Source organism: Homo sapiens, chromosome 3 (assembly GCF_000001405.40).
Source record: "Homo sapiens chromosome 3, GRCh38.p14 Primary Assembly".
NCBI lineage: Eukaryota > Metazoa > Chordata > Mammalia > Primates > Hominidae > Homo > Homo sapiens.
This window is the reverse complement of record NC_000003.12, coordinates 10,294,239-10,321,715: the sequence shown is the minus strand read 5'-3', so window position 1 is coordinate 10,321,715 and position 27,477 is coordinate 10,294,239. Positions and strand designations below refer to the sequence as shown.

General features: G+C 47.1%; 1 protein-coding gene across 19 annotated transcripts, besides 4 other annotated features; it reads left to right on the top strand.

Annotated features, from left to right (window-relative positions):
- Window positions 296–891: an enhancer, noted in NCBI's record as "H3K27ac hESC enhancer chr3:10362509-10363104 (GRCh37/hg19 assembly coordinates)". NCBI's record gives its function as "activates a minimal SCP1, AML or CMV promoter by ChIP-STARR-seq in primed H9 embryonic stem cells {active_cell/tissue: H9 hESC(primed)}" and the evidence as "EXISTENCE:reporter gene assay evidence [ECO:0000049][PMID:30033119]".
- Window positions 296–938: a biological region, named in NCBI's record as "H3K27ac hESC enhancer GRCh37_chr3:10362509-10363104".
- Window positions 369–448: a silencer, noted in NCBI's record as "silent region_14060". NCBI's record gives its function as "represses an Ori minimal core promoter by ATAC-STARR-seq in GM12878 lymphoblastoid cells {active_cell/tissue: GM12878}" and the evidence as "EXISTENCE:reporter gene assay evidence [ECO:0000049][PMID:35858748]".
- SEC13 (SEC13 homolog, nuclear pore and COPII component) lies at window positions 604–20,785 on the top strand. Of its 19 annotated transcripts, none has more exons than XM_047448691.1 (12): window positions 604–666; window positions 1,052–1,105; window positions 2,400–2,459; window positions 2,544–2,577; window positions 3,622–3,666; window positions 6,280–6,395; window positions 8,986–9,137; window positions 9,618–9,751; window positions 16,024–16,157; window positions 16,560–16,683; window positions 17,544–17,690; window positions 20,342–20,785. In XM_047448691.1, the coding sequence occupies exons 3-12, from the start codon at window positions 2,437–2,439 to the stop codon at window positions 20,453–20,455; spliced, it is 1,023 nt and encodes a 340-aa protein (XP_047304647.1). In that variant the 5' UTR covers window positions 604–666; window positions 1,052–1,105; window positions 2,400–2,436; the 3' UTR covers window positions 20,456–20,785. The 19 variants fall into 19 exon arrangements, with proteins under 19 accessions (XP_047304647.1, XP_016862509.2, XP_047304646.1 ...); XM_017007020.3 differs by having other exon boundaries at window positions 1,052–1,207; window positions 20,569–20,785; XM_047448690.1 differs by having other exon boundaries at window positions 1,052–1,207.
- Window positions 639–938: an enhancer, noted in NCBI's record as "active region_19424". NCBI's record gives its function as "activates an Ori minimal core promoter by ATAC-STARR-seq in GM12878 lymphoblastoid cells {active_cell/tissue: GM12878}" and the evidence as "EXISTENCE:reporter gene assay evidence [ECO:0000049][PMID:35858748]".

The following is a 27,477-nucleotide window of genomic DNA, read 5'->3' as shown; positions in this document are numbered from 1 at the left end:
ATAGATAGATAGATAGATAGATTTTTTTCTTTTTTACAAGAGTGTCTCTCTGTTGCCCAGGCTGGAGTGCAATGGTGCAGTCACGGCTCACTGTAACCTCCACCTCCCGGGTTCCAGCGATTCTCCTGCCTCAGCCTGTAGCTGGGACTACAGGCGCGCGCCACTATGCCCGGCTAATTTTTGTATTTTTGGTAGAGACGGGGTTTCACCATGTTGGCCAGGCTGGTCTCGAACTCCTGACCTCAGGTGATCCACCCCCCAGCTCAGCCTCCCAAAGTTCTGGGATTACAGGCATGAGCCACCGCGCCCGGCCGATAGTTATATTAATCCTTTCTTTCATTTATGGATCTCAGGAAAAGGGCAGACTTGGTCGGGAGAGTAGACCCACCAGAGCTTCAGATTCCAAAGCCCTCCGGGTCAGGGTAACTGCGGCAACCAGAGCCCCAGCCCTCTGGTCTCGCACGTCACTGGAGGATAGGGGCTGGGCCACGGGAGGGCGGGGCGCGCCCTCTGGAAGGCGCGGAACTGCTGTGCGAGCCGAGCGCGTTGCTGCCCGGAGGCTCCTACGCCACGGCCCGTCGGGCCCGGCGCCGGAAGTGAGCTGTTCCGAGGCGCCGCCGGGAGCTGCCACGTCCGAGACCTGGAGCAGCCACCGCCGCAATCATGGTGAGTGTTGGTACTGAGGAGGCCTAGCAGGGTGAAGGCCACGGTCGCGGCCTTCACGGGTTCCTCGGCCGTCCTGAGTCCCAAATCCCAAGCTGGAGCCGTTCAGCTCCCCTCCACCGCTTAGAGATTTGGGGGGCTCTGGCCCCGTCCTTGCGGACCATTCCGAGGGGAGTCCAGAGGTGAGGCCGAGGAACCTCCCTGACTTTGCGGGGCGCGCCGCTCCTGCGTCTCCTGCCAGTCTCCCTTCCTTCTTTTCGGTCAACAATTGAAAACAAAACGAGGAACAGCAGAGGAGCTACTGTATACCGAGCCCTCAGCATTGTTCGTAATCTCCGCCTGCTAACAGCCTTGTGAAGAAGGTGCTATTCTTCTCAACACTTTACAGATGAGGACACTTGAGGTTCGGAGACGTGGAGCCTCTTGCACAGCTGCTTAAGTGGTAGTAGAGCCGAGATTTGAACCCTCCTAACCATTCCTTTCTGCCGCCTACTGCAGCTCCCAGCAGAGATGATTGAACTGTTGCTCGGGGTAGGGCCCCCAGGTAGGATGGGCACCTCGGGAAACGTAAAGATGGCCTGAACGACCCTCCGAAGGCAGGGGCTCAGGGTTTTTTAAGTCTCTGTGGCATCTGCAGTGTACATTCACTCCACACTTACTCCTTGAGTGAATGAATGACTGAAGGAGAACTAAAGAATGGAAGTATCTGGGCTGAGCCTGGAATATCTAGTACATGCATTCTTTTAGAAACATGGGTGTGTCTCAGCAGCAGGTTTGAGGGAACCTGCAGGAACCTAGAAATCAGAACACTGTGTTCTTGTTCTGCAGAGGGTTAGGTGTAAATCACTCACCTCTGGCTCTTCCACTGCAGGTTAGAGTTGAGGCTTTTATGCTCTGACATTCAGCTCATCCTAAATGAATTTTTAACTCATTATCTGATCTCAAAGAGGTGAATTATTTTGAGTGCAGGTGTTAACAGGGACCAGATAATACCAGGTCCCTGGGAAGAAGTACTCTAAGAAGTTCTCTCTCTCTCTCTCTCTCTCCCCACCCTCCCTCTCTCCCCACTCCCTCTCCCTCCCCCCTTCCTCTCCCTCTCCCTTTCTCTCTCTCCCCCTCCCTCTCTTCTCTCTCTCTCTCCCCGCTCCCTCTTCCTCCCCCCTTCCTCTCCCTCTCCCTTTCTCTCCCGCCCTTCCTCCTTCCTTCCGTCCTTTTCTCTCCCCCTCCCTCTTTCCTCCCCCCCCCCCCCCCCCGCCTTCTCTCTCTCTCTCTCTCTCTCTCTCTCTCTCTCATTCAGAAGTGTGGTTCATCAACCCTGACTGGTGGGTGAGAGTGGTTAGAATTAAATGCTGATTATTTCTAAGGTCCTTTGGTAACCTGGTTGAAACTACCTCTCAGTAAACTTTCTTCGTGAACCTACTTAACCGCAGCTTTACAGAACTCAGTGTAACAACTGCTTTACATTCTAGACAGGCAGCCTGGTGGAGTGAAGTTTTGTGGACTCAGCATTAGAAGGTTAGGGGATGGGGCTCTTTTCCCAGGTCTGCCTTGAACTAGCTCTGTGACTTTGGCAAGTGCTTTCTCTTCTCTGGGCTTCTTCATTTCCTTAGTCTGTCGCAGGTCTCTGATTGACTGTGCCCTTGGTACCCTGCCCTCCCCGCCTTCCTGTGCACTTTGTAACCTATACAGCTCGGCACATGGAGGAAACTCCTTATTGTCCTTACTTGCCTTTGCAGACTTCGGGGACCTGGTTTTTAGAGAGTCTAGAATCTGATGAGAGAACCTGTGCTTACTTGGTGTGTACCTCTTGAACTGCTTTGCAGCCATCCTCTTCCACTGTCTGCCTTTCTGAAATCACAAGTCAAACTTTATACCTACAGGGCTTGTGCTGGAAAAGATGAAATGGGGAAAATGGTAAGAAATGTCTGTTCCACACTGAAACTTCTTTTAAGTCCTCTTTTCTATCCCAAGAATTTAAGAGAAGAGTGGTTGAGCAAAGAAAAAAAATAACAGCTTTTGTTCATTTACTTATTCATTCAGCAAATAGTCGCTGAGTTCCTTCTATTTGCAAAGCACTGTGCTGGATGATTTGAGGGGATTTGAAACTGCAGATGGCTCAGACCATGGCTCCAAGGAGCTCACCTTCTAGTGGGGAGAAGAAACAGCATAAAGTGTTGTATGTGTTCCTTGCTGAAGATATGCAAGAGAGTCCAGCCATTTGAGGGTCTGAGAATCTTCAAGAAAGGTGATGGATGGCCCTTTTTGAGCTGGACCTCAAAGAATAGATAGGAGGGAGATGACCATGACACCATGTTCCAGCCCTACAAACTGTTCAACTCTGGATCCCACTACGTGACGGACCAGGGAGCAGCCTCAGGAAACACTCGAATCAAGTCTCCCAGTCTGAAGTAATAACCCCGTTATGCATAAACTGCCTGGAACATCAGAGGCTCTGTCATCCAGGAAAGGAACACCAGCTGTAGCTCCCTTGGGGTCTCTCCTCAACCTTAAGGGTAGCCAGGACTGCTTGCCGTTTCCCCACACACATCAGGCTCTCTCAGACCTCTTTGTCTCTACTCGTGTATTCCCTCTGCTTGGCTGCTTGGACTGGTATTTTCCCCTGTGCCACCTGCAAATTCCTACCCATCATCTAGGGCTCAATTCGTGTCTACCACCCCAGCCCCTCAGGCTCCTACAGGACACACAAACCACCATTAAATAATTTATCTTGCGACACTAGCATTATTCGCGAGCTTCTCAAGGGCAAAAAGTTCCTCTTATTTGTGTCTGTATATCCAGTTCCTAGCACAGTGCTTGGCAGAAAGAAGGTACTTAGAATGAATGCTTACTGAATGAATGAATGAATGAGTGAGTGAACAAACAAATGCAGTCAAGAACTTGAGATGGTTGTATTCTAACTGCCATGAGTTAATTTACCAGTGATATCTTTGGTTCTAGGTGTCAGTAATTAACACTGTGGATACCTCCCATGAGGACATGATTGTAAGTATTAATATCACCCTCCCTGGAGGGGTGTGGACATGGGCATTTTTGTGGGAGGGAAGCAATTTGGGGTTTTCATTACCCCTTTCTGTTGATCATTCATGGATCCAGGGTGGCTTTGCAGTGGTTGCCTATCAGCCTGTAATCTCGGGGTATGGCAGGCTCCCTAGCAGTGCCCTCTGAGTTGTCAGGACTGTGGCAGTCTAATCACTCTCTGCTGGGAGGAACCTGGGAATAATTTGTAGTTCTAGGCTGTCAGTCTTCCAGCCAATACAATAACCTGCTCTCGGATGAAGGCTGAGTGGGTACGGAGGCTTGACAATAGTCTTCCCACCTGTCTTCCTCCTGCTGTCACTTCTTAGCCCCACTGGAAAGGGGGGTGAAAAGAAGAGAGTGTAGAAAGATGACTCAATACAAAGGCAGAGGGCAGCCACAGTGAAAGCCCCAGGCAGAGCCCAGTCAAACCACCAAGACAATAGGCCAGACAAGGCCCTTTGAACCAGAAGTCCACACTCAGGGCATTTCCTGAGAGGTAAACACAAGGCTCAGTATAAGAGGACAGGGCTGCAGGAGAAGGTCCAGAGGTTAAAGTCTACCGCAGGAAAAACACAGACTCTGCTTCATTCAGGGCCAAGCAGCCTTTGAGCAAGACCCAGGACAGCTGGCTGACAGTGTTTCATGTCAGGGTTCTTGCCCTCACAACCTGTCCACCAACAGTTGCTTTTGGGTTTCTGAGAGGTTGTCTGGTCCCAGAGTTGTATATGTTCTCTGGATTCAGTCATGAGTGGTCTAGCTGTAAGACCACACCTCCTTGGAGATAGCATGGAATCATGGGCAGGAAGACCCAGTCTGAGACTCCCTAGCCAATATCTTAACTTTTCTGAGCCAGCCTCAATTTACTTACGGGAAAAATAATGGATATGCTACCTACTCGTATGAGTTTGGTTTGAGAACTAGATGAGGCCAAGTAGTAATGACAAACATTTGCATGCTCACTGAGTGTCAGGCCCCATGCTAAGTACTTTTCTTTTTTTTTTTTTTTTTTTTTGAGATGGAGTTTCGCTCTTGTAGCCCAGGCTGGCATGCAGTGGCGTGATCTCAGCTCACCGCAACCTACGCCTCCCGGGTTCAAGTAATTCTCCTGCCCCAGACTCCCGAGTAGCTGGGATTACAGGCGTGCGCCACCACTCCCAGCTAATTTTGTATTTTTAGTAGAGGCAAGTTTTCTCCATGTTGGTCAGGCTAGTCTCGAACTCCCGACCTCAGGTGATCCGCCCGCCTCAGCTTCCCAAAGTGCTGGGATTACAGGCGTGAGTTTTCATTCAATATCTTGTTTAACCTTCATAACAACTGTTGAGACAGATGCTATCTTTAGCCTTATTTAAAGATAAGGGAACTAAGGCCCATAGGATGTTGGTAAATAATAAAGATAAGGAAACTGAAGCTCAAGGAGATGAAGTGTTTTCAAAGTTTGCACAGCAGGTAAACTAAGGAGATAGGATTTAGATCTGAAAGGTACTATGTCCTGCCTCCTTCCACTGAGAAGCATGAGAAGTGCTTCAGAAACACTCCTCTACTGCCTGCCCTCCAAGAAACCAAGGCCTGATACAGTGGAGGGAGTTCCCAAAGAAAAATCAGGATGTGTTCCTTGCGTAGGGAGGTGAGAATTCCCATCTGAGCCAGACAGAATGAGTGCCTTTGAATGGGCATAATTGCCCCTGGTGGCCATGGGAGTGCAGCTGATAGTCCTGAAACTCCCAGGGTGGGACAGCTGGGGAAAGGGACATCCATTGGAATAGGCAGGGCCAGCAAGCAGAAGGGACCAGGGTGTTCAGTGGTGCAGGAGGCATGGTGCCTCAGAGACCATCACCCTGCGGACAAGGATCTGCAGGTAGGGGCCAGGCCTAGTTCTGCATGCTCAGTCAGCATCAAGGAATTCGGTTCACAAGTGGTGAGAGCAGCGACACTTAAGGCATTGTGTTCCTTGGGTGGAAAGTCTGGGAAGCTCTGGGCACACTACTAGGGAAAAGGTCGAGCAGAAGCCCCAAAACAAAGGTCCACAAAGGATCCAGGGCCAGGGCTGGAAAGAGCCCAAATATCTGAATGGAACCCTGTGTGCAGGCCAGAGCTGCATCACAGAAGACCTGACTGGGGACTCCAGGCAGTCAGAGGCCCACTCCTTTGGCCTGCTCCCATGCATTAGCATCAGGTGCTAGGGCTGAGCTGAACCCAGGGGTATTCCCCTTTAGCCCACAGAGCCTAAGAACTGAATAGGGCCTGAGAGGATGGAGGAAGAAGAGGGCAGCTAGGCCAACTTTTTTTCTCCCATACCCACCCTGCGGAACAGGAATGGAAGAGCCCTTCCCTGAGGTATGTAAAGGGTCTGTGACACCAGCTGGGCATGGCTTGCTTTGTCCATTTCAGAGAGACACTGCCCATAGGTGAAGTGAGAATGTCCACATGCTAGCTTCCTGCCTGAGGGTGATGATACTTTGAGATCAGATTGATTTCAGGGAGATTCTGGTCCAAACTAGACTCTGTGTAGTGACAGCCCTCACCCCACCCACCCACCCACCCAGCCTGCAGGCTTCCCGAGCTGTCCTCCCTTTGCAGCACGACGCCCAGATGGACTACTATGGCACCCGCCTGGCAACCTGCTCATCAGACAGGTCCGTCAAAATCTTTGATGTGCGCAATGGAGGGCAGATCCTTATCGCCGACCTCAGGGGGTAAGTGCTGGCGAGCCCAGGGAAGGGCTCCAGGAATGGTGTGGGTTCTCAGGCCCTGCTTCAAGCGTGGGAGCAAAGCATGGGAGCCCAGATTCAGAGCAACCCCAAAGCACATTTAGCGGAGAGGACGCTGGGATCCCAGCCAGCCTGGCTGTCCTCAGCGGACGTCCCCAGGGATGATGCTGTTAAGGGCACAGGTGGATACAGGTGTGAATCTCAGCTCTGCCACTTTATGTGTACCCACCAGAAGACCTTGGGCAAGTGACTCAGTTTCTCTCTCAGAGCCTTCATCTGCTCATCCTCAAAATTGGGCCAATGCTACCTCCTATCCAGCTAGTGTATGCAAGGCCCTGACACAGGGCCCAGGACACAGTAAGTCTTTAGTGCAGGCAGCTACTGCTACTTTTAAAAGTGGTAAACAGTACCATTTCGTTCAAGTTTAGCCAGTATGACCTAAAGTGTCACAAAAGCATCACCGTAAGAATAATGTAAGAATGCTATCATTTTATAAATCCCATTGTTCTGCCTATATGCCCGTGGCACGTGTTCAGTGATTATTTACAAATGTTTGACCTGCCCTGCTCCCTACTGAGATTCTTGAGGAAGTCCTGGCTCATTTTTATGGCCACATCTCTACTGCTTTCCCTCAGCTCACTGCCTTTCACGTATTTGTGGGTTTGCCTGGGTGCCGTGGATCTCCAAGGGTTCTGTGAATAGAGTTCAGGGGTTGATGAATTGGGACAGGGGGAAAAAAATGCATTTTCAGTGACTCTGATATTTAGCATTTCCTTCAATTATGGATGTAGGCCAGAAACTTCAGTAGTATTTGTAGTGCCTGTCACTTTGTCACCAGTAGAATTCACAGATATTGTCATCACACATCACGGTTACTTAGCTACCTCAAAATACCACTTATGCTCATCACAACTTTGAAATTACAGTGGTTATTAGACCTGCCGCTAGGGTTTGTTGCTTGAAGTGTTAACAAAGAAGTACATGCATCACTATCTCATAAATTGCTTTATAATATTTTGATAACAGGCTGGGCAAGGTGGCTCACGCCTGTAATCCTTAACACTTTGGGAGGCTGAGGTGGGAGGATGGCCTGAGCCTAGGAGTTTGAGGCTGCAGTGAGCCACGATGGTGCCACTGCACTGCAGCCTGGATGACAGGGTGAAACCCTTCTCAAAAAAAAAAAGTTGATTACTGTATAATTTATAATTGAATTTTCTTTATAAGCCTAGTTCTGTGTGTTTTGTACATTAGTCTGATGAGGGTCCATAACCTTCCCCAGAATGCACAGAAAAGATTAAGAGCCATGACAGGTGGGTGCTCAGCATGTGTTTGTTCACTGAATTAAAAAGCATAAACTAAGTCAGTGTCCATTTGGGGAAATGGGCCTAGAAGCTCCCCTCTGTCTGAGTGTCAAATGATCAAGTGACTGAGGAGCCAAATCAAGCTTCTCTATGCAGGAGCCCCCCAGGCAGGCAGAGAGCTGCTGCAGTGCAGCGTGTTGGCCAAGGCAGTTATGTTTGCTGTGACTCTGTCCTTTCTGCTGTTTTTCTTACATTCAAAGGATGTGAAATATTGGAGGGATAAAAAAAATTCCCACCCCATTCTTTTTTCCCCTTAGTAAAAACTGTGCTAGTTGTTGGAAGATTGAGTCTACTCAGTTTCATTAGCAGCAGCTTTGTAGGGACTGGGAATGTCCTGTTGTCCCAGCCAGAGGGAGGAGGAGACTTGAGTGTGTGCAGCCCACGGTGAAGGAGTAAACCAGGAGCAGCACTAATAGCTAATGGGTATTGAGTGGCTTTTTTCTTTCCTTCTACCAAGCATTGTTCCAAACTTTATGAAAGAATTCTTATTGATGTCTCCATTTTCAGGTAAAGAGACAAAGATATCCTTGCCTAAAGTCAAGAGCTAGTGAATGGGAGAATGGGTCTGGTCTCCTAACCACTAACTCTACCATGCTACTCTACCTCTTGAGTGCTAAGGTGCAAAACCTTCCCTGGGCCAGAGAAATGGTCACCGTACAAAGCCTGGCACAGAGCATGTGCTCAGATAGCACCTGTTATCAGGTGAATGGATAAAGATCAGAAGAGAAGGGAAAGACATGCCTTTCGAACAAATTAAAAGAGTAGTGGAAAACATCAAAATGAAACCAATAATGCCTCCTCAGGAAGCTGACCGTCGGGAAGGATGAATAGCAATTCAGTCTACAAATATTTCCTGAACACTTCTGGCTGGAAACCTTGGACCAATTAATGACTATGCTGTAGACAGCACATACAGACAGTGCTGGCTGCAGTCTGGGCAAGTGAGGCTCCTGCCTGGCCAGGACAGGAAGGCTGACCCAGAGGCTCAACTCTCTCTCAAAGGCTCTGTGACCTTAGGTTGCTTAACCTCTTAGGACCTCAGGCTCCTCACTGTCCACTGAGCACCCCTTTTGCAATGGCATTGTATAGTTCTCCCTTTGAAGTTCTTAAGCAATTCTGCCCTGATATATCGTCTCAGGGAGCCATTTAGTTCTGTCCAAAGTAGTGCCTGCAGAGGCACTGTGGGTTCCTCTGGCCTATCTCTCCCTTTGTAGTCATGAGGGTCCTGTGTGGCAAGTGGCCTGGGCTCACCCCATGTACGGCAACATCCTGGCATCGTGCTCCTATGACCGGAAAGTCATTATCTGGAGAGAGGAAAACGGCACCTGGGAGAAGAGCCACGAGCATGCGGGACACGACTCCTCAGGTATGCTGAGCTTGGCAGCAGAGCGGGCAAGGGGACCACTGGGTAAAAAAGGACTCTGTCCCGGCTGGAGCCCTGGCTCCCTGCCCCTCGTGGTGCCTCTTGTCTGTCTCTTGAGCTTTGGTTGGCTTTTCTGCTACTCTGTCCTCAGCTGAGTAAGGCCCTAAGACCTAAAGCCAGTCCAAAGCAAATAAGAAAAGACAGGTGAGTTTCTCTTCAGGATTATTCATTGCAAGGACTACCCTTCATTCTCAGATTGTTTTCCTACCCACTTTTTTGTTAGATAGACTGTAGGTTATGAAATCGTGGTATTAGTAGGTGATGGGGTTTTTTTGTGTCCTCAGTTGACCAAGTTACAGCTTCCCCCGGTGACTCCTACAGTTGTTTGTTGTAGACATTTAGTAAAACAGTAAATCTGTGGAAGGCGGGACCTGGGGCCGCGGTCTCCCTGCTTTGCTCACTGCACTCTCCCTCTTCCCGCAGTGAACTCGGTGTGCTGGGCCCCCCATGACTACGGCCTGATCCTGGCCTGTGGGAGCTCGGATGGGGCCATCTCCCTGCTGACTTACACCGGGGAAGGCCAATGGGAAGTAAAGAAGATCAACAACGCTCACACCGTGAGTCCATCCCCTGCCTTTCGTGCAGTGAGAGCGCCTGCCTTGCCCCGTGTCTGCTGCAGCCTCCCTAGAGGGTGGCACGGGAGGGTCCCCGCTGGACAGTGGGCCGGGGAGTGGTCAGCTGACCAGACATGATTGCTCTAGAGCAGCTTTGAGCCTCTCTGCCCTGAAGCCAGACCAGGCAGGGCTTGGCACTGCTTCCTTGTTGTGTGCTCCCAAGCAGGGGAGGGCTGGTGCAGCAGCAGCCTGCTCACTGCCACCTTAGCTATGGTTGCCTCCAGGTGACATGCCCTGCAGTAGTCATTGGGACCCTGTAGAATGGAGTGGTGTTATTAAAACTTTTAAAAAGTATGTGAGCTATGCATACATTTAAGAAAGATTAATATAAACAAGGTCATTCTTTACCCAACTTTTGGTGAATCAGCGAGTGACAGTGGTCGTGATGTTGGTGGTTCAATCAAGGAATAAATGTTTGCAAAGCGAACATCAATGTCCTACCTCCTACCACCACACAGTTCAAAAACCAACAATAACCAATGTGGGGGGCTCATATGACTAATGCCACATCGTTTGCTGTCATGCATCTGTATGATTATTGGATATTTTATGAGTTTAATTCTACAATAATTTGTATCTATTCTTTTTCTAATCTACTCATTCCAGTTCAGGGTCACAGGTGGTTGGAGCCTGTCCTGGCAGCTTAGGGCATGAGGCAGAAGCCAGCCCTGGACAGGATACCATTCCACCAGAGGAGCACTCACACACACCCCCACACTCACACTGGGACAATGCAGACGTACCATTGAAGTGAACATGCACATCTTTATTGTGTGAAAGGAAACCAGAGTACCAGGAGAGAGCCCACGCAGACACAGGGAGAACACACAGACTCCACACAGGCAGGGGCCCCCGCTGGGAGTTGTTTTTTTTTTTTTAATCTTGTCAGCATTATAATGAAATGAAATTGAGGATCAGTTGTACATAGAATGAGACAATCTGTGGTCTTTTGTGACTGGCTTCTCCTACTTACTATAATGAGTTCAAGTTTCATCCATATCATAGCGTGTATCAGCACTCCATTCCTTTTTATGGCTGGATAATACTCCATTGTGAATATAGACATTTTGTTTATCCATTCATCAGATGATGGATGTTCTCGGCCTTATGAATAATGCTGCTATGAACATTTGCAGATAAGTTTTTGCATGAACATATGTTTTTAATTCTCTTGGGTCTATACCTAGGTGTGAAATTGCTGAGTCATATGGTAATTCTGTGTTTAACTTTTTGAGGAATTGCTAAACTGTTTTGCAAAGTAACTGTACCCTTTTACATTCCCATCAGCAGTGTATGAGGGTTCTAATTTCTCCACATCCTCACTAACATATGTCTGTCATTTTGGTTACAGCTGTCCTAGTGAATGTGAGGTGGTATCTTATTGTGATTTTTTGGGTTTGTTTTGTTCTGTTTTTTTGAGACGGAGGCTTGCTCTGTCACCCAGGCTGGAGTGCAGTGACATGATCTCGGCTCACTGCAACCCCCGCCTCCCAGGTTCAAGCAATTCTCATGCCTCAGCCTCTTGAGCAGCTGGAATTACAGGCACACGCCACAACACCCGGCTAATTTTTGTATTTGTAGTAGAGACAGGGTTTCACCATTTTGCCCAGGTTGGTCTCAAACTCCTGGCCTCAAGTGATCCGCCCACCTCAGCCTCCCAAAGTGCTGGGATTACAGGTGTAAGCCACCACACCCGGCCCTTATTGTGATTTTTATTTGCATTTTGCTAATCAAAGATGATGGTGAGCATCTTCTGGGGGCCTTTGGAGAAATGACCAGGAGGGGTTTGCACTCTGTAACACCGAGTGAGTGGAAGCGGCCCACAATAAGAAAGGCTGAAGGGGCGGGAAGAAATCTGAGCTCTGTGATCCTCCAGAGCAAGCCTCTGGGACAGGGCCCCTCAGGAGGAAGAACTGCAGGAAATGAAATCACAGTTGAGCTGGATAGGGACACAGGAAAGGAAGGATGAGATGTAGACCAATGTGGGGAAGAGGAACAAAGACAGGAACTCCTGAAAGCCATCTCCCACGTTTTTTAACACCACACAGAAACAAGGGAGAGTTCTGAGCTTAGACTTTCCTGAGCCTTTCTTATCAGGAAAACTCATCTCACCTAAAAATAACAGAAAAGTATTTGAAGTGAAATTGCATACAGTTGTTATATAAGAAACAAGAATATGCAAAATAACCTCCCTGCGGACAATGAGAGCACATTAGAAAGACATGCCCACATAACCGAGCCAAGCTGTAACCTGCTATTTCAAATCAAGCCAGGTGACATTCTAACAATACAAAACAAGAGAGAATAGTGTAAATCAACTTTTTAAAAATCAGAAATAAGGTGACAGAACTCAGGAAAGAATTAGAATTAAAAATCATTTCAGAAGTAAAGAAAGACTAAGACGAAATGCAAGTGTCGATGAACACAGCAGATCCTGCCTGAAAAGGATAAACAGTGTGAAAAAGGAAACATTTCAAGAGCAAAAAAATGAAGAGGTAAAAAGGTTTTGACCAAAAGTAAAGACAGGCAGAAAGGTCAGACATACGAATACCAGGAGTCCCTGGAAAGGAAAACAGAATACCAAAAAGTAATCCAGAAAACTTTCTTAAAATTAAAAAACAAAGATTTGAAACTTGAGATTGAGAGATCATACCCCACACTTAACAATATCAGCCGGGCGCAGTGGCTCAGCCTGTAATCCCAGCACTTTGGGATGCTGAGGTGGGCGGATCACCTGAAGTCAGGAGTTTAAGACCAGCCTGACCAACATGGCGAAACCCCGTCTCTACTAAAAATACAAAAATTAGCCAGACGTGGTGGCGCACACCTGTAATCTCAGCTACTCGGAAGGCTGAGGCAAGAGAATTGCTTGAACCCGGGAGTCAGAGGTTGCAGAGAGCCAAGATCACGCCATTATAATCCAGCCTGGGCGACAAAGCAAGACTTGTCTCAAAAAAAAAAAAAAAAAAAAAAATCAAGGCCAGGCGTGATGGCTCAGCCTGTAATCCTAGCACTTTGGGAGATCGAGGTGAACTCCTGTTTGAGGCCAGGAGTTCAAGACCAACCTGGCCAACATAGTGAGACCCCGTCTCTAAAAAAAAAAAAAAAAAAAAAAATTCAACTCAGCATCACCAACAAAAAGATATAATTCTAGTAAAATTATTAGACTTTAAAGAAAATTTTGGGGGGTTCTAGAGAAAAGGAACCTTGTGACTTAAAGGGGAAAGACAATTAGATTATTGTCAGACTCTTCAATAGTAAGGATTGGTGCAGAAGAAAAAAGAATAACATGTTTAAAATACTCCAGGAAAGAAAGTGTGAGCCAAGGATTTATAACCAGGAAAATTGACTTTGAAGTTCACACAAAGACTTATACACAAAAGGTTATAGCAGCTTTAATAGCCAAAAACTGGAAATAGTCCACATGTCCATCAACAGGTAAATGATAAGTTGTGATATATCCATACTTTGGAAATACTGCGAGCAATAAAAAGAAATGACTGCAATAAAAAGAAATGACTTAACAAAATAAGATGAAGAATAAATTTCAAAATAATTATGCTGAGTGAAAAAAAGAAGAAAAAGGACACACTGTGATTCCACTGCTGTAATATCTAGGAAATGCAGCTGAGCAGGCCCATGGTCACCACGATTGGGGGCTGCAGGATGGGGAGATGGATTACCAGGGGATCCGAGGAAACTTTTGGGAATGATGGGCATGTTCCTTATCTTGATTGAGGTGATGTGATGATCCTACAGGATATATTTTTGTCAAAATTCACCAAATCATGCACTTGATATGCAGTTTATGTCAATTATACTATATCAAAGCTGTTTTTAAAATTAGCTTTTGAGTGTAAAGGATATGAACTATTATCAATATGCAAGAATTCAGGGACTATTGTTTCTAGGAGCCCTTCCTGAGAAATCTACTAGAGGATACAAGTCACACAACTAAAATGACTACAAAGACTTCAGCATAAATATATAGTTACTTGTAGAGAACTAAGACGAAATGAGGGTTAAAAGGCTGGGCCCAGGGCAGGCACAGTGGCTCACACCTGTAATCCCAGCACTTTGGGAGGCTGAGGCAGGCGGATCACCTGAGCTCAGGAGTTCAAGACCAGCCTGGCCAACATGGCAAAGCCCCATGATGTGGTTTGGCTGTGTCCCCACCCAAATCTCATTTTGAATGCCCATGTGTTGTAGGGGGTAACCAGTGGGAGTTGAGTCATGGGAGGAGGTCTTTTCCATGCTGTTCTCTTGATAGTGAATAAGTCTCACAAGATCTGATGGTTTTATGAAGGGGAGTTCACCTGCACAGGCTCTCTCTCCCTTTTTGCTGCCATCCATGTGAGATGTCACTTGCTCCTCCCTTGCCTTCTGCCATGATTGTGAGGCCTCCCCAGCTACATGGAGCTGTAAGTCCATTAAACCTCTCTTTTTTTTGTAAACTGCCCAGTCTCAGGTATGTCTTTATCAGCAGCGTGAAAATGGACTAACACACCCCGACGCTACTAAAAATACAAAAATTAGCCAGGCGTGGTGGCACACACCTGCAGTCCCAGCTACACGGGAGGCTGAGGCAGGAGAATCACTTGAACCTGGGAGGTGGAGGTTGCAGTGAGTCAAAATCGCGCCTCTGCACTCCATCCTGGGCAACAGAGCCAGACTCTGTCTCAAAAAAAAAAAAAAGGCAGTGGCTCACACCTATAATCCCAGTACTTTGGGAGTCTGAGGTGGGAGGATCACTTGAGCCTACGAAGTTTGAGGCTGCAGTGAACCATGATCTTACCAGCCTGCACTCTAGCCTGGGTGACAGTGAGACCCTGTCTCAATTTTTAAAAAAAAAAATTGTTAATAATAAATAAAGAGGAGAATCAGTCATCTTTGGAAAGTGATAGAACCAGTTCAGAAAGAATCAAGCGTTTATCCAGCCTTTCCTTTTTGACCTTGTATTAGTCTGTTTTCTCGCTGCTGGCAAAGACATACCCAAGACTGAGCAATTTACAAAGGAAAGAGGATGGAGAACTCACAGTTCCACGTAGCTGGGGAAACCTCACAGTCATGGCAGAAGGCAAGGAGGAACAAGTCACAGCTTACGTGGATGGCAGCAGGCAAAAGAGAGAGCTTGTGCAGAAAAACTCCCATTTTTAAAATCGTCAGATCTAGCGAGACTTATTCACTATCATGAGAACAGCATGGGAAAGACTTGCCCCTGTGATACAATTACCTCCTACCAGGTCCCTCCCACAACACGTGGGAATTCAAGATGAGATTTGAGTAGGGACACAGCCAAACCATATCAGACCTCTATCCCTGGGTAACTGAATAGTTAATGAGAAGAAGTGTCCCTATCTGGAGCATTCCATGGAATAAATGACAAAGAAAGGATGGAATTAGAGTATCACCATTTTACAAGCCCCAGTGAATTAAGAGAGGCCTGAGTTATTGACAGCTGTTAATATAAGAGACAATCTAACGTGCCTCCTGATGAGAGAACGCACCAGCTCTAGTCTTGCCAAAGGGATCACACCTGAGTCTGTCCAGTCTTGGCTCCAGCTGACAGTTTTCAGGAATTCAGAGGAACATATTGAACTGCATATGAAGCAGCAAAACCCAGACCGAGAGACTAGGCTCTCTTCAGCAGAAAAATTGTAAGGAAAAAAATCAGAGGAGGAATCTGCAAAGTAGGAGATGTAAAAAACATCCAAAAAAATGTTTAATGGACAAGACTAAACTATAGTATCTAGGGGTGCACATTTGGGTGATAAAATGGGGGGAAAATGGGTTAGAAGTTAGGGCAGTGGTTACTTATAGTGGAAGAGGGAGCTGTGATTAGGAAGGGCATAATGACAGGGCTTTTCAGGCAGGTGGCAGAATTCTTGTTTCTTGATCTATTACTTTATAATAAAAGATTTTTCTTAAAAAAAAGCTCCAATGTACCATTCTTTCATGTGTTTAGAAAATGTCCTGTTTCTTAAACTTGTGGGAGTTCTTAATTTCTACTTTTAGCGCACACTGCAGAAAAATGCACACACTGTTGGGATCCTTGAGGGAGAATTCTGAGCAGTGGACCCCATGATGAGTGCTTCATGTCAGCCTTCACACACACTCCAGTCCTGAGAAGCGGAGGGGAGAGGGACAGCAGGCTTGGGTCTGCAGAAGCAGTGTTCTCTTGCAAGGCAGAGTCACCATGTGTCCCATCTTTACAGATTGGCTGCAATGCCGTCAGCTGGGCCCCTGCTGTTGTACCTGGAAGCCTCATAGACCACCCATCGGGGCAGAAACCCAATTACATCAAGAGGTTTGCATCAGGTGGCTGTGACAACCTCATCAAGCTGTGGAAGTAAGTAGGGATGTGTGGCCTTCTCTTTGAGGGGACACTTCTACCCTTTACCCTACTCACCATGACTCAGCCACACTCACAAGAAACAAGGTCACCTTTCTTTCTCCCTCCTGCCAGTAAAATACTGTTTTCAATCTGTTGGAGGACATCCTTGAAAAACAACACAACACCTGTTCACCTAATTCCCAACTGTTGGAGCTGACTCTTTGGCTGTGGAAGCAGAGCATTTTCTGGAGGGTTTTTTTTACAGCTGGGGTGAAGGGAATAAAATGCCACAAACTCCATGAATGAAAGAAGAAAGATGGAATCGCTTCTCCACCCCAGGCAGAGCCTGTTGGGTTGGGGAGGAGTTGAGGTGTGGGAACGGCCCCCTGCTGATTCTCTTTCTGTCCCCACTGTTAGGGAGGAGGAGGACGGCCAGTGGAAGGAGGAGCAGAAGCTAGAAGCGCACAGTGACTGGGTTCGAGATGTGGCCTGGGCCCCCTCCATCGGCCTGCCCACCAGCACCATCGCCAGCTGCTCCCAGGTCAGCCCAGGGCCATGAGTATCCCTTGTCATTTAGTCTCGAGTCAGGCCCATCAGCTCTTAGTCTCCTTAGCAGAAAGTCCTCTGGGAAGGTAAAGGGAGAGCAACAGGCACCTTTGGCCCAGAGCACAGGGAGTCAGGTCATTGTGTGGGGAAGTCTTGGTCAGAAGCCACAAGTGGCCTGCCTCCACTGAGATGAGACAGCTACAACAGAACCGGCACCAAGAAGGAGGCGGATTCGGGATGAATTTTCCCTTCTGACCCATGTGAGACTAGGGCGCCGAGGTGCCCAGGTGCAGTTCCAAGTGTTCCCAAGCAACGATGGGGTTGGATGGGAATTATACGCTTAGCTACCAAGCCACCCTTCCCAGACAGCAAGGACGGCCAAGGGTGAGCCTTCAGTTATACACCACCACCCTAGAGGGAGCCAGCTAGGCCTTTCACATCATGGGAACCTGTTTGGTTTGGTTCTAAACTTGGGATTTTTGTGCTTTTTTACTTGTGCCTTCTCATTCTTGGAGCTTGGTTTTTGGAGAGCTCTGCCCATTCAGTTGAGAAGGTATAGACGGCCAGTGGAAGTGACTTGGCAGGCATGAGGAAAACCCCAGAGAAAATCTGAGTTAGCAATGCAGACAGAGTCCACCTCCGAAACCCGGATGAGAAAAGGAATCCGGGAGACTCTTAACCAGTGTGAAGAGACAGAAACAAAGCTGTGGACGCCCCAGAGGTCCTCGGCTCCCCTTTGAATCCCCCACCCTGTTCCTGCAGAGAGGTGCCGGGTGGCTCTAGACTGGGAGGACATCACATCACAAACGCAGGAGTCTTGACTCCACCTCCTGACTCTATCCTGTTTCTTCCTAGGATGGTCGTGTGTTCATTTGGACCTGTGATGATGCCTCAAGCAATACGTGGTCCCCTAAATTGTTGCACAAGTTCAACGATGTGGTGTGGCATGTGAGCTGGTCCATCACAGCCAACATCCTGGCTGTCTCTGGTGGAGACAATAAGGTACATACCCATTCCCCGTGGCATGGTGGACACAGCCTGTTGGTCTTCACCCCGCCCACTAGAGAGGGCACTTGACATTCCCATCTGACTGCAGGCTGGGCAGGAGCCTTAGCCAGGACTGCGTTTTGAGTGTGCCTCTTAGTTACATCATTAATGTCACAGCCCCTGAGGTAGTATTAACACGTCCCCCTTTCACAGATGAGGAAAGAAGCTGACAGAGGCGATTTGACTTGCATGGGGGTCCCAAAACTATGAGGTGGCAGAGCCAGTCAGGCCCATCACCCTACTAAGCATTTGGTCACCTCATGGTGATGTTCAGTTAGCTGTGCCAAAAAGGCAAGTGTATAAGAACCCATAAACAGAAGAAGATTGGGGATATTTTTTGTCCATAACACTGAAAAGGCTTTTTAAAAACCTTTAGAGTTTATGAATACTTGTTATGCTGGTAAGAGGCAGGTACACAGTGGGTGCACTGGAAGAGTTTGCATTTTGCAGCTGAAAGAGTTCTGGAGACCAGCTGCTCAGGGACCCAAATGTACTTCACACAACTGGACTGTGCAGTTAAAAGTGGCCAAGGTCATTTTATGTGACGTGTATTTTACAATTAGAAGGAAAAAAGCTACCCGCAGAAAGGAAGCAGTAACAAGCCATAGCCATCTGCCCAGCTGAATTCCCCTATAAGACAGAGGATCTCTAACGCCGCAGGGTCAGTTCCACGTGGAGTGGCTGTGCTGCGTTTTCAGGCACATCTGCTCTGCGCCTGAAGTGCGAGTTGGTCTGGATCCTGCCAGCCCTTGCTGCTTCTCTCCCTTGCCTATGTTGGTCTTTTACTGTTTCCCAGTGGCCACTTTGGCTCCATGTCTTACCTTTCATTTGTGTGGCTCACGGCACAACCAACACAGGCAAGGCAGAGAAGCAGCTGGTCTCCAGAACTCTTTTCAGCTGCAAAATTGAAACTCTGTACCCATTAAATAACTCCCTTCCCCATTGCCCCTCCCCAGCCCTGGCAGCCACCCTTCTCCTTTCTGTCTATGTGAATGTGACTGCTCTAGCGACCTATCTAAGTGGAATCATACAGTATTTGTCCTTTTGCGACTATGTCACTAGCAGTATGCCCTTAAGGTTCCTCCATGCTGTACGTAGCATGTGTCAGAATTCCTTCCTTTGTAAAGCTAAGTAGTGTTGCATTGTATAGACAGCCCACACCCTGTTTCTACACTTATTCCTCCACCAAAGGGCACCTGGGCTGCTGCCACCTCTTAGCTATTGCGAATAGTGTGGCTGTGAACATGGGTGTGCAGATCTTGAGAGCCTCTGCAGGCGGCTTTTCTGGCCGAGGGTCCCTTTCATCTACAGTGGTCCCAGAAAGATCTAGCAGGCCCCCTCTCAAAGCCATATTTCTAGTGAGTGCCAGAGTCAGGACCAGAACCCAGGTTGATGGCACTCAGGGCAGACCAAGGGACCCAGATTGCCTCAAGCAGGCCCCCAGTGACTTTTTTACAAGGCTGTAAGCAAGTGCCTGGCTGTGCACGCAGTGTTGTGGGGCCCGTCACTGTGCATTTAGGCTTCTTGCTCTTCTTTACAAGCCTGTTTCCTTTCGCTGTCTCCATAGCACCCTTACCTAAAGGACTTAGTATGTTTTCAATCCCAGAGCATTCTGCAGTGTGTTGAGTGAATAGTTTGTCCCTAAAGCAAGAGTTCTTAAAATCAAAATCGTTATTTTCATTTTTAATCAAACTAATATATGTACATAGGTTTAGATTGTTTTTGTTTTTTGTTTTGTTTTTTGAGATCGAGTCTCGCTCTGTCGTCCAGGCTGGAGTGCAGTGGCGCAGTCTCGGCTCACTGCAACCTCCGCCTCCTGGGTTCAAGCGATTCTCCTGCCTCAGCCTCCCCAGTAGCTGGGAGATTACAGGTGGCTGCTAGTTTTTTTGTGTGTATTTTTAGTAGAGATGAGATGGGGTTTCACCAGTTCAGGCTGGTCGCGAACTCCTGGCCTCAGGTGATCCACCCATCTCAGCCTCCCAAAGTGCTGAGATTACAGGCGTGAGCCACCATGCCCGACCTAGACTGATTTTTTTTAATGCAGCCTCCTAATTTTCTCTCCAGGGGCAAACCTTTTCAGCTCTTAGCTATTTCTTATACAGTTTACTTCAGTGTAGAAACAACATATTGAACTGTTACCTTCCTCTACCACAGTAGTTTTCAAACTGCAGTGTTGTTAAACCTGTTAAAACAGATTGCCAGCCCCACCCCCAGAGCTTCCTAATCAGTTGTTCCAGGCCCCAAGAATCTGCAGTTGTAGCAAGCTCCCAGGTGACCGATGCTCTGCTCTGGTCTGGGGACCACACTTTGCGAACCCTGCTCCCCGCCACCCCATATCCTCTCGCTGTAGCTCTGTCACAGTTTGCTGAAAACAGTATCCTGTGTTGACATCATCATCCACAGCTGCTGTTATTGTTACTCCTTTTTTTCTGTGAGTTTTTATTCCTGGACTCTCATTTTGGTGAGATTTCAGTGGAGGAGGGACATGCTCTGTTCACCCACAAGCCTCTGGGCAGTGGTTCTTGATGAGGATGAGGCTCATATTTAGGGGACAGCAGAGGGAAGGGCACAGACCCGTGATAATCTGCTTGTGCACTGACTCGCAGGTGACCCTGTGGAAGGAGTCAGTTGATGGGCAGTGGGTGTGCATCAGTGATGTCAACAAGGGCCAGGGCTCCGTATCAGCATCAGTGACAGAGGGCCAGCAGAACGAGCAGTGACAAGACAGGTGGGGCCTGGCTCCCCACCCGCCAGCTCCAGGACTGCCCCTTCCTGGGCCAACTAACCAGACAACTGGGAAGAGCCCCCAACTCCAACAGGATTATTTTCCCAGGAGGAGTTACAGATGCAGCCACAGATTGATCATCTGCCTTAACGTGATCGGAGATGCTTTGTAATCTACTGTCCAGCTGAAAGCACTCATGTTACGAGGAAGAAACTACAAGTGATGTTCAAATCTATTTTGGGTCATTTTTATGTACCTTTGGGTTCAGGCATTATTTGGGGGGTTTTGTTTCCAAAGGAACTAAATAAAGTCATATTGCTTATAATTCCTGCTGCGTTATCCTAACCACCCCACCCCACCAGCTCAGTTTGACTCTTGTCGGTCCACGCACTAGAACAAACTATTCACAAAGGCCACGGCTGTGATGGCCTGGCTTAACCCCACGCACAAAGGTGGCTTGTCACTGCATGAGCATCTCTGATTCAGTTTATACTGAAAGCACCATACAGAGCACTGGACTCAGCCTTTGGTGACAAGGACTGTAGCCCTGGGTCTGCTACTTACCCTCTCGGTACACATCCTGTTCTGCAGAATGGGACTAATACAGTCTGCCCTACAGGATGGCTGCAAGATTCAAACACGCTAGTGCATCTGGTGACCTACAAAATGCCACGCAGGTGCAACGTGGTATTAACCAAACACCAATAGTTAAGATGCTGGCCCAGAAAGTGGGCACGATTCATTTAGTTTATTGACCCTGTCAGGAAAAGGAGGGCCCCATGATGGGAGACCTAACTGACCCTGAACCAGGTATCACCTTTCAGCGGAGGCCCTGTGACCCTGACAATCGCCATAGCCATCAGTGAGCCTGCGGTGAGCCAGACCCTACACTGGATCTTTCACACATTCGCTAATTTAAGCAACACGAGAACCCCGTGTGGGTGTACCCAGTTCACTGATGAGGAAGCGCTCAGAAGGTAGAAGCCCTGCCCAGGACTGTGCAAACGTAAAGCCAGCGTCAGGGCCTGGCCCATCTCAACAGTTACTCCCCACTGTAGAATCAGGGTGGGAGCTGGGGGGCTCTCCTCAGCTGTAATACAAGGATGTTTCTCACACCAAACCTTTGTATGAATAGATTCAGATAAAAGGTCAGCCCACTTGCCTCAGGCCCCCTAGTCTGCCTACTTCTTGTCCTTCCCTCCTTTTTCAGCAGCAAAATCCCCTTTAAAAAAAAAAAAAAATCTTTGATCATACTATGTAACATAGAAGAAAGTGAAACTGCTTTGGTTAAAGGTGAGGACAGAGAGGCCATGGCCTGGCCCAGTCAGCCTCCAGTCAGTCCACAAAGCCCAAGCCTTCTGAGACCAACATGAAAACAGCTGCTTCCTTCCTTCCCTTACTCAGAAAAGCAAAGCCCAGGAAGGCACCTTCACGTGCACTACTGAGTGTCGAGTTCTACAGTGAATCCTTGAACCATATCCACGTCTGCCTCCCTGATACGCTCTGTGCTCCTCAAGCCTGGGCCTGGGCTTCCTATGGTGCCAGCTGCTGTCGCCAAGAAAATACCGAGAAGGAACTAGTCCCGTGTCACTCTGGGTTGGTGGTAGGTTAATGGGTCCCTGACTGTGTGCTCTATTTTAACTCCCACCACCAAGGATTGGTTAAGATAATTATGAAGTTGGCACCATAATAGTTGTTTATACTTAGAGTGGCAACACATTAACCATTCCTGGGTAAGAGGAGACCCCAAAATTTATTACCACAAAATAGCCTAGTCAAATAGAAATACTATCTGTAAAACTTGCCGGGCAGTTGTCAAGCCCAAATGAGATAAAAGTAAGGGAAATTTAAAAGGCATAGAGCTCTGGTTAGGGCCAGATGGCGCTAGCAGCCATATGTTTTTAATCCTTTTGCAAAAACAAAGCAACTGGGACAGCAAAAGAAACCCACAGACCCTAGAACATGGAGCAGGCCAAAGCCTTCATAGACACAATACCTCTGAGAGATCAGCAGGGTGAAGAAAAGGGAGTTTTTATGGTGCTATAAGCCAGAGACCCCAAAAATTGCCATCAAATACTCATCCATTCTGAGTGCAAAACTCAGCAAGCCACTGTGAAAACAACTCCCAAAACTAGAAGATTCACAGGCTTCCATTTACAAGTGAGCCCAGAAACACTAAGGGGAGACCTTCCACTTCTGCATATAAAGGATTAACGATTGTAAGAATTTCCCAGCCAACATGGTGGCTCACAACTGTAATCCCACACTTCGAAAGGCCAAGACGGGCGGAATGTTTGAGCCCAGAAATTCAAGACCAGCCTGCCAACATGGCAAAACCCCATCTCTACTAAAAATACAAAAATTAGGTGCAGTGGTGTGTGCCTCTGTAGTGCCAGCTACTCAGGAGGCTGAGGCACAAGAATCGCTTGAGCCCAGGAGGTGGAGGTTGCAGTGAGCCGAGATTGCACCACTGCACTCCAGCCTGGGCAAGAGAGTGAGACTCTGTCTAAAAAAAAAAAAATTTCCCTGGCTGGGCGCAGTGGCCAGCACTTTGGAAGGTTGAGGGAGGAGGATCTCTTGAGCCCAGGAGTTTGAGATCAGCCTGGGCAACACAGCAAGAGCCTGTCTCTTTAATAATAAATAAGAATTTCCCTCACACTATAGACAACTAGGAAATTAATTCAAGATGGATTAAAGACTTAAACGTTAGACCTAAAACCATAAAAACCCTAGAAGAAAACCTAGGCATTACCATTCAGGACATAGGCATGGGCAAGGACTTCATGTCTAAAACACCAAAAGCAATGGCAACAAAAGCCAGAATTGACAAATGGGATCTAATTAAACTAAAGAGCTTCTGCACAGCAAAAGAAACTACCATCAGAGTGAACAGGCAACCTACAAAATGGGAGAAAATTTTCACAACCTACTCATCTGACAAAGGGCTAATATCCAGAATCTACAAAGAACTCAAACAAATTTACAAGAAAAAAACAACCCCATCAAAAAGTGGGCGAAGGACATGAACAGACACTTCTCAAAAGAAGACATTTATGCAGCCAAAAAACACATGAAAAAATGCTCATCATCACTGGCCATCAGAGAAATGCAAATCAAAACCACAATGAGATACCATCTCACACCAGTTAGAATGGCAGTCATTAAAAAGTCAGGAAACAACAGGTGCTGGAGAGGATGTGGAGAAATAGGAACACTTTTACACTGTTGGTGGGACTGTAAACTAGTTCAACCATTGTGGAAGTCAGTGTGGCGATTCCTCAGGGATCTAGAACTAGAAATACCATTTGACCCAGCCATCCCATTACTGGGTATATACCCAAAGGACTATAAATCATGCTGCTATAAAGACACATGCACACGTATGTTTACTGCGGCACTATTCACAATAGCAAAGACTTGGAACCAACCCAAATGTCCAACAATGATAGACTGGATTAAGAAAATGTGGCACATATACACCATGGAATACTATGCAGCCATAAAAAATGATGAGTTCATGTCCTTTGTAGGGACATGGATGAAATTGGAAATCATCATTCTCAGTAAACTATCGCAAGAACAAAAAACCAAACACCGCATATTCTCACTCATAGATGGGAATTGAACAATGAGAACACATGGACACAGGAAGGGGAACATCACACTCTGGGGACTGTTGTGGGGGGAGGGGACGGGGGAGGGATAGCATTAGGAGATATACCTAATGCTAAATGACGAGTTAATGGGTGCAGCACACCAGCATGTCACATGTATACATATGTAACTAACCCACATATTGTGCGCATGTACCCTAAAACTTAAAGTATAACAATAATAAAATAAAAAAATAAAATAAAATAAAATAATAAATTTAAAAAAAAAACAACAACTAGGAAATCATGAAAAGTACATGAAACAACTACTGCTTTCAGACATAGGACAACAGGCAGTGTTTGGGAAAAGGGAAACAGGTAAGCACAACAAATGCACCAGGTTACTACTACCCAGAAGCAGTTTCTGGGCCAAAAGGTAAAGAGAGACTCCAGAGTCTAGTAGTCTCCAGGAGTTGAAGAGACAGAAGTCAGAGTTCAGGAAGACCAAGGCAGGCCGGGCGCGGTGGCTCACGCTTGTAATCCCAGCACTTTGGGAGGCCAAGGCGGGCAGATCACCTGAGATCAAGAGTTCGAGACCAGCCTGGCCAACATGGTGAAACCCTGTCTCTACTAAAAATACAAAAATTAGCCGGGCGTGGTGTTGCACCCCTGTAATCCCAACTACTCGGGAGGCTGAGGCAGGAGAATTGCTTGAACCAGGGAGGCGGAGGTTGCAGTGAGCAAAGATTACACCACTGCACTCTGCCCTGGGCGAAAGAGCAAGGCTCTGTCTCAAAAAACAAACAAACAAACAAAAAAGACCAAGGCAGAACTGAAGGCAGAAGAGGACGAGAGGAGGAAGCTGCACAGAGCAAGCTCCTGAGAGCTGAAGAGTCTCCTGGAGTCTTTGGACAAGTACTAACCTTCATATATGAAGGGTGAAACCAATAGACCAAGCAGCTGGAGCTCACATAGGGGTGGGAATAGCCCATGTTCCCAGCAACCAGAAAAAAAAGAGACATTCCATCCAGAAGAACAAATATAAGAGTGGCAGCAGGCCAGGCGCCGTGGCTCACGCCTATAATCCCAACACTTTGGAAGGCTGAGGCGGGTGGATCACGAGGTCAGAAGTCCGAGATCAGCCTGACCAAGATGGTGAAACCCCATCCCTACTAAAATTAGCCAGACATGGTGGTAGGTGCCTGTAATCCCAGCTACTCGGGAGGCTGAGGCAGGAGAATTGCTTGAACCCGGGAGGTGGAGGTTGCAGTGAGCCGAAATCACGCCACTGCACCCCAGCCTGGGCGACAGAGCAAGACTCTGTCTCAAAAAAAAAAAAAAAAAAAAAGGAGCAGCAGCCAACTTCTCATCAGAAAGTAGGCAAACCATAAGAAAATTAACATCTTTAAAGTACTGAAAAAATTAAAAAAAAAAAAACCTGTCAGCCTCAAATTCTATACCTAGTGAAAATATATATATATTTTAATACAGACTCTTTCAAATAAAAGCTGAAAGAATTAATCACCAGCAGAGCTGCCATTACAAGAAATGTCAAAGAAGTTTCCTTCAGGCAGAAGGAAAATACTAGATGAAAAACAGGCTGGGCACAGCGGCTCACACCTGTAATCCCAGCACTTTGGGATGCTGAGGCAGCAGGATTGCTTAAGCCCAGGAGTGTGAGGCCAGCCTGACCGACATGGTGAGACCTTGTCTCTACAAAAAAAAATACAAAAATTAGGATTTACAAATACGACTTCAGGCCCAGCGCGGTGGCTCATGCCTGTGATCCCAGCACTTTGGGAGGCCAAGGCAGATGGATCACTTGAGGTCAGGAGTTCAAGACCAGCCTGGCCAACATGGCAAAACCCCATCTCTAGCAAAAATACAAAAATTAGCTGGGTGTGGTGGCGCATGCCTGTAGTCCCAGCTATTCAGGAGGCTGAGGCAGGAGAATTGCTTGAACCCAGGAGGTATGGGTTGCAGTGAGCCAAGATCACGCCACTGCACTCTAACCTGGACAACAGAGCAAGACTCCATCTCAAAAAAAAAAAAAAAAAAAAAAAAAAAACAAATATGACTTCAACATATTGCAAATACCTTCAACAACTCCGATATCCCTTTGCAAATATCCCTTTACAGGCTGAGGTGGGAGGATCAGTTGAGCCCAGAAGGTGGAGGCTGCAGTGAGTTGAGATCACGCCATTGCATTCAACCACAGGTGACACAGTGAGACCCTGTCTCAAATAAAAAAGAAAAGAAAAATGGATCTGCACTAAGGAATAAGGAGCAACACGATAGTAAATACCTGAGTTCATAAGACTTTTTCTTAATTTCTTTAATCTGTCTAAAAACTTTGGCTATTTAACATGCATTGTGGGGCTCATACCTTAAGTAAAAATAAAATGTGTGACAATAATATCACAAAGAATAGAAGTGGGGAAATGAAAGCATTCTGTGGTGCAGTTCTTACACTATCTGTGAAAGGATATCGTAGTTGTTGAAGGTATTCTGCAATATGTTGAAGTCATATTTGTAAATCCTAGAGCAACCACTCAAAGAATAGAACAGTACAGTATAGCTAATAAGCCGACGGTGAAGACAAAATGATACCATTCAAAACCCTCTAAAAGTGGTTATGACAAGAGAAAGAAAAGGAAGAACAGATGGGACAATGGAAAAATTGGTGACTTACAAATAGTCTGGAGATTAACAGTAATGTGCTAACACTGGTGTTTTAATTTTGATAAATGTACTACGGTTATATAAGATATTCACGAGTGGAAACTGAATTGGGTTATTCAGAGAGAAAGATTTCATCTTCCATATGTTTATATTTTCTGCTGGAAGCAAGCATTTATAATCAAAATTTACCTGGGATACTTGGTAATTTATAATCAAAATTACCTGAGATACTTGAAACAGATTCTAAAGCCCCCACGCCAGAGCTACTGGATCAGAATCCAAGGATGGAGTCTTATAAACGTGCATAAAACTTATGAAGCTTTCCTCATGAATCCAACACAACCCAACACAGGTCTGTATCTGGAAATTGAGACGAGATGGCCCTCCAAGCCACGTCCCACCCTGAGGTCGTCCTATGGCTCTTAGCGGTCCATAGACTAAAAGGCTGGATGATCAGCAACGCTGAGACAACAGTTTCAGTACAGCAGTGGGGATGAGAGGCAAGGTCAAGTTTTGAGGGGCCAGGACACAGCAAAGAAGAGGACACAAGGAAAGGGGAAGGAAATGGAGATGGTAACACGAGGGGAGGGTGGGATCGGTGCACAACAGACGTTTTCAGGATTAGGAACCTGGGTGTATTTTAAGGCAGAAAGCAGAAGCCACTGGAGGGGAACAGAAGACACGAGAGAGGCAAAGTGTTAGAGCTTTGGCCCCAAGATGGCCGGAGGCTAGGGAAGCCCCA